Genomic DNA, 6,000 nt, shown 5'->3' on the forward strand with positions numbered 1-6,000 from the left:
AGATCTCGCCACGCACTCCAGCCTTGGCGACAGAGAGAGACCTTGGCTCACAAAAAAAAAAAAAAAAAAAAAAAAAGCCAGGCATGGTGGTGCATGCCTGTAATTCCAGCTACTCGGGAGGCTGAGGCAAGAGAATCACTTGAACTTGGGACAAAGAGGTTGCAATGAGCCGAGATCATACCGCTGGAAACAACACAACCGCTGCCATGAATGCTTAAACCAAAAACTGAGGATGCAGATATCATCTATTCCTTACCTTTTGCCTCATGCCTAATCTATCAGCAAGTCTTTTTGCTTCTTCCATCCTTCTAAAATCTTTCTCACATTCATCCTCTTCACTCTATCTCCAAGGATAACCTTTCCAGTGCAAGCTACCATCAACTATGGCTTGGGTTACAGCAGCAACTTCTTAATTGCTCCCACTGTTTGAAACACCAGACATCCAAGTGAAGATGTCAAGTAGGCAGTTGGATTTATGATTCTGGAGTTCAGAAGTGAGATGACACAGAGATATAAATTTGGGAACTGAATACATACAAATGGTATTTAAAGTCACAGAACTAGATGAAATCCCCTAGGTAGAGGTTATAAACAGGCAATAGAAAAGAGCTGAGTATCATGCCAAGAGGTATCTTCTGAAATTGACTTAAGGAAGAAAATCTAGTCGAGGAAGACAGAAGGCAGAAGTTCTGGCAGACTACCTCACAAGTCTCTTGATTCCCAATTTTTCTCAGTCCTCATTATCATGGACCCAATAAACCACCCTCTCAAAATAATACCCCATGCCATCACACTACTCTCACCTCCTACGTGCTTGCCTATTGTTTCCACGTTCTTACCTCATTCTTCCATTTTCCACCCGTTTCAATCATTCCTGTTCTCTCTTTCTCATCATCTCTGTCTCACTCTCTTTTCCTCTGTGTGTGTGTATATATATGCACACATTTTCCTCCTCAAAGATCTTATCCGGGCTGGGCGTAGTGGCTCACGCCTGTAATCCCACCACTTTGGGAGGCCAAGGCAGATGGATCACTTGAGGTCAGGAGTTCGAGACCAGCCTGGCCATATGGCAAAACCCTGTCTCTACTAAAAATACAAAAATCAGCCAGGTGTGGTGGAACACACCTGTAATTCCAGCTACTTGGGAGGCTGAGGCACAAGAATTGCTTGAACCTGGGAGGTGGAAGTTATAGTGAGCCAAGATGGCACCACTATACCACAGCCTGGGTGATGGAGTAGGACTCTGTCTTAAATAAATTAAATTAAATTAAACCCTGTCTCTACAAAATATGCAAAAAATTAACTCGGCATGGTGGCACATGCCTATATTCCCAGCTACTCAGGAGGTTGAGGTGGGAAGATCATCTGAGCCCAAGAGATTGAGGCTGCAATGAGTTGTTTGTGCCACTGCACTCCAACCTGGGTGACAAAGCGAAACCCTGTCTCAAAACAAAAAGGATGTTATCCATTCCCACAACCTCAACTATAAATTTACTGATAACTTCCAAATACCTAGCTAAGTGTTACTCAAAGTGTGGCCCATACACCACTATTACAGAATCAGCAGGACATGCTTGTGAAAATGCAGATTCTTGGACCTCACCTCAGACCTACAGTATCAGTTCCCCTGGTAATTCTTAAGCAATGGCTTTTATCAATGTCCACTAATTCATACGTATTATTTTATTTGAATTGCATGTGAGATAATGTTAGGAATACTACAGCCTTCACGCTTACTAATAGCAATATGAATGAAAAAGGATCTGCAGACTAAGAAGGAAGTTTAAGGAAATCAGAGACTATAACCAGGGATTAGACTCTAATGGAAATTGTACGATTGCTTAAACCTCTATAAATGTCCCATACTATTTAACTTTGTCTAAAGATAAACAATAAGGAGTAGGGGGAACAACTGAGCTTGTATTGCTTAACAGCAAAGTAGTAAACTTGGAAGCCAGTGTCATACCATGGCTAGAATAAAATTAAAAACAGTAATAGCTTTTAAAAGAGAAAAAGAGAAAGAGAGAGGTAGAATGATCTGTAGGGTCTTCAGTAGACAGAGAGATCCAAGCCAAAAAAGGGGTTATAAAGCTTAACAGTCACAGGACTTCATTTACTGACATTACTCTACCTTGAATTAAAATTATTTGGGCCCTTATATTACCTGTGTCACCAGACTGTGAGTTCCTTGAGGCTATATTACACAATCTACCTACTACTTTGCAAAACCCAAAGCCCTGCCCAACAAAATCTAATAATATTTCCTGAGGTAAAGAGTTGCCACATAAATTCTAGCTCAATTCCTGTATCATTATCTCCAATTCCAAATTAGTGACGTCCAGAATGATGGGGTTTTATTGTATTATCTGGAAAAAATTAATGTATCAAAGCTTTAAATAAATATTAGTCTTCAGATACAAAACTATAACAATTCTTCTGACCACAGCAGTTTCCCCACTCCTTCTAACAAGCAAAACTCACAAACTACCATTAAAATGTTTCAGTTGCTTTTAAATTTGTCCTACCTCCTCATTCCTTATCATCTCAAATAAGATGCTTCCTCCTTCAGGAACAGTAGTGAAGTGAATTTGAACTGCTATTTGGGGTGGAGGAAAACGGCAAGCACTGACATAGTCAGTGGCCAAATCCTTTTTCCAACTCCCTCCCTACCTTGTTCCTACCTCCTAGACAGTCTCTTCAGTCCCTGGAGTTGACTCATGCCGTAGCTCCCTCTGTAGTTCCCTCTGTTCTCGCATAAAACAATGTTCAATTGTATGCAGGGTTAAAAAAAAAAACAAAAAACCTTCAAGAATGCTTTTAATCTGTAATCCCAGCACTTTGGGATGCCGAGGCAGGTGGATCACCTGAGGTCAGGAGTTCGAGATCAGCCTGGCCAACATGGTGAAACCCCGTCTCTAATAAAAATAAAAATAAAAAAAATTAGGCAAGCATGGTGGCAGGCACCTGTAATCCCAGCTACTCAAGAGGCTGAGGCAGGAGAATTCCTGAACTCGGGAATTTGCAGTTCAATTCCTGAACTCGGAAGGTTGCAGTGAGCCGAGATTACACCACTGCACTTCAGCCTGGGCAACAAGAGCAAAACTCTGCCTCAAAAAATAAATAAAATAAAATAATGTTTTTATTAAACTACAAGCCAAAGAAACTTCAGAAAAAATGTGTATATCCCAAATCTCTAAATGCTGCTATTTAGAAAGACAAACTAATAAAACATCATGCGGTGACAGATATTTGAATATTTTCTACATATCTCCACACTAGATGCCCTGGGCATCCAGAACATTCCCTAACATTGCCCCCTACTCTTATCTTCCTCGGCAGCTTTCTCCCTGTAGCTAGTGACTCAAATTTGTTCACTATCTGTGCCTTCCCATTCTTTCAAAATGCAAGAGCAAAGTATAGATTCCGACATCAATTAATGGTATTGCTCTGGCTTGAAATGTTTGGGAGTCCTTTCTTCACCTTTAAAAAGTAGCGACAGATGATGGGTTTCTCCACTGAGGGTTAGGCCTGGGGTTCCCAAGATGCTATACGCAAGGACAATTACTACACCTCACATCTAGACATGACTTGACAGTAGCAGCACTACCTACCAATATCAGGTCCCGGCCAGCAGGCTATGCAATAAAATACCAGGTGCTGCGTTCCCATCATCAAGAGTAAAGGGTTAGTACTGCTTCTATACGAAAATGGCTCTTGCTCCAACCCCGCCTCGGCCCCCACATCAAACCGTCTAATAACATCACTGGTTCTTTCTACTTCAGAATAGAGACATGCACACTTGAGATCATCAAGAATAATACATAACAAAGTCATTATATTCCGTAGACTTGGCTGGCAGAAATGTGGGTTGCGACTAACTTTTTATTCGGTGGCTTCCTTCCAGATCAATCCAGATAACTCCCCCTCCCCAGAGCCGCCATAAGGGGTGAAGCCCCACATCCTCCTAAGCGCAGTAGGGAGGGACCGGGGGGAGGACAAAAGAGACTTGCCTATAGGGACTTACAGATGCCAGACGCTGAGGGGTCTGGGGTAACTCCGCGCTGATTTCCATCCTCTCAGTACCTCCAGCCTCCTCGTCCGCCATCTTGAGGGAAACTGACGCCTGCAGTTGCCGACCCCCGGCCAGAGGCAAGCGGAAACCTGTGGCCGGTCGGAGAGACAGGGACGACACTTTTACGACGGCCCCTGAAGTCGGGTTTGACGCAGACTCGAGGAGTGGCTTCCGGCCCGCTTCCCGGAAGCAAGCGTCACGACGTGAAGGGACTGGAGATTTTTTTTTTCCCCTCTAATTTATCAGGCGTAGCTCTTGGTAGCTGAATGGTTGTATATCTGGGTTTGGTGCTGGGAACTGTTGCATCTACGAGGTAAAAAAAACAAAGTCAGCGTCCATTATGAAAGGAAGAAAACTTGTCGGGGGCTAAAGCAAGAACCTGTCCTAGCTGGCCGGTTGTTGGCCTGGGGATGTTTTGTATCCCAACCTCCCTGCAGTAGTTCCCCAGAGCCTACAAAATGAAAAAGAAAGTACTCACACATCTTCTATTTTTAGGATTCTACCCCGTGGGCACTTGCACATGTGTACAAAAAAAGCTCGGGATCCAGCTTTATTGGGGGACACGGGGGGAAATAACAAAAAATTGGAAACCTAGTCATTCATCGATAGAGGAAAGACAAGATATACTATGGTACATTCGCATTTTGAAATACTGTGCAGCTCTTGAGCAAGATAAATCTGCGTGAAAAGATCAAGATAAATTGAGAGAAAAAAAAGCCAAGTTGCTGCAAACTATATATTTGCACACATAGGCATTTAAATGTGAAGGAGTAAGTCTGAAAGGGGAAAGGGCAAAGTAGTAACTCTGAGGGCCAGGATTCGGATTGGAGGAAGAAGGTGGTCAAGAGCTACTTTACCTTCATTTGTATTTTAAATTTTTTACAAAACAAATAATTTTAAAGTATATTTTTAACAAAGGGAAGAAAATAAAGCTCCAAACAATGTGAAAAGTAGAGGAGGCTTTCCAAATGCTGTGGTCCACCTTGATTTATAGAACTTTCCTGCCTAAACAATGTTTCTGCTCAAATGAACTACTTCCTGGGTGCTAAAATACTGTTTTTCCAGCCTTTTTTGCCCAACAACCACAATAAATACATTTTACATCTTATCACGGTACACCTATACAAAATTAAATGGGTATATATAGAATATGTATATATATACTGAAACTTAAATTTTCTGAAACAATACTTCCAATATGTCATATTTTCTATTCAATTGCAATATGTTTATGCATTTAAGCCAAAATACTGGTTGTAGTTATTAAAGTGATACTATAACCCACAATAGGTATTGTCCCACATTTTGATAAAAATTGCCCTAAAAGTTACCTTGTCCCTTCCTGTCTCTATGCTTTTACTTCTGTAGTTCTCTTATGCTACCCCACGCTCTTCTCTTTTTCTTCTTTCATTCCTAGATAAATGAAATAGACTAGAACGTTCAGAAATAGGTCGGGGCAGTGGCTCACGCCTGTAATCCCAGCACTTTGGGAGGCCAAGGTGAGTGGATCACCTGAGGTCAGGAGTTCGAGACCAGCCTGGACAACACAGTGAAACCCCATGTCTATTAAAGATACAAAAATTAGCTGGGTGTGGTGGCAGGTGCCTGTAATCCCAGCTACTCAGGAGGCTGAGGCAGGAAAATTGCTTGAACCCAGGAGGTAGAGTTTGCAGTGAGCCAAGATCATGCCACTGGCACTCCAGCCTGGGCTACAAGAGCAAAACTCTGTCTCAAAAAAAAAAAAAAAGAAAAAGAAAAAACAGAAAATAAAAAGAAATAATAGCCACTTATCAACATCTTAATGTAATCAAAGCACTAGTATATTAATAACACTAGCTATATATTAATAACAATCCTTTAGGTAGATGTTACTACTTCTATTTTACTGTCATGAGAAACTGAGAAAACTGAAGTTTAGAGAAGTTACA

At 41.6% G+C, this 6,000-nt stretch overlaps 1 protein-coding gene across 1 annotated transcript in view, besides 1 other annotated feature; it reads right to left on the reverse strand.

Annotated features, from left to right (window-relative positions):
* The window catches only part of UBR1 (ubiquitin protein ligase E3 component n-recognin 1), a 163,142-nt gene extending 159,021 nt beyond the window's left edge, over positions 1–4,121 (reverse strand). Inside the window, exon 1 of the mRNA NM_174916.3 lies at positions 4,025–4,121. Within this exon, the coding sequence (NP_777576.1) occupies positions 4,025–4,105 (81 nt within the window). The 5' untranslated portion in view covers positions 4,106–4,121. The remainder of the gene's footprint in view (positions 1–4,024) is intronic.
* Positions 3,940–4,219: an enhancer, noted in NCBI's record as "active region_9309". NCBI's record gives its function as "activates an Ori minimal core promoter by ATAC-STARR-seq in GM12878 lymphoblastoid cells {active_cell/tissue: GM12878}" and the evidence as "EXISTENCE:reporter gene assay evidence [ECO:0000049][PMID:35858748]".

This window comes from Homo sapiens, chromosome 15 (assembly GCF_000001405.40).
Source record: "Homo sapiens chromosome 15, GRCh38.p14 Primary Assembly".
Taxonomy (NCBI): domain Eukaryota; kingdom Metazoa; phylum Chordata; class Mammalia; order Primates; family Hominidae; genus Homo; species Homo sapiens.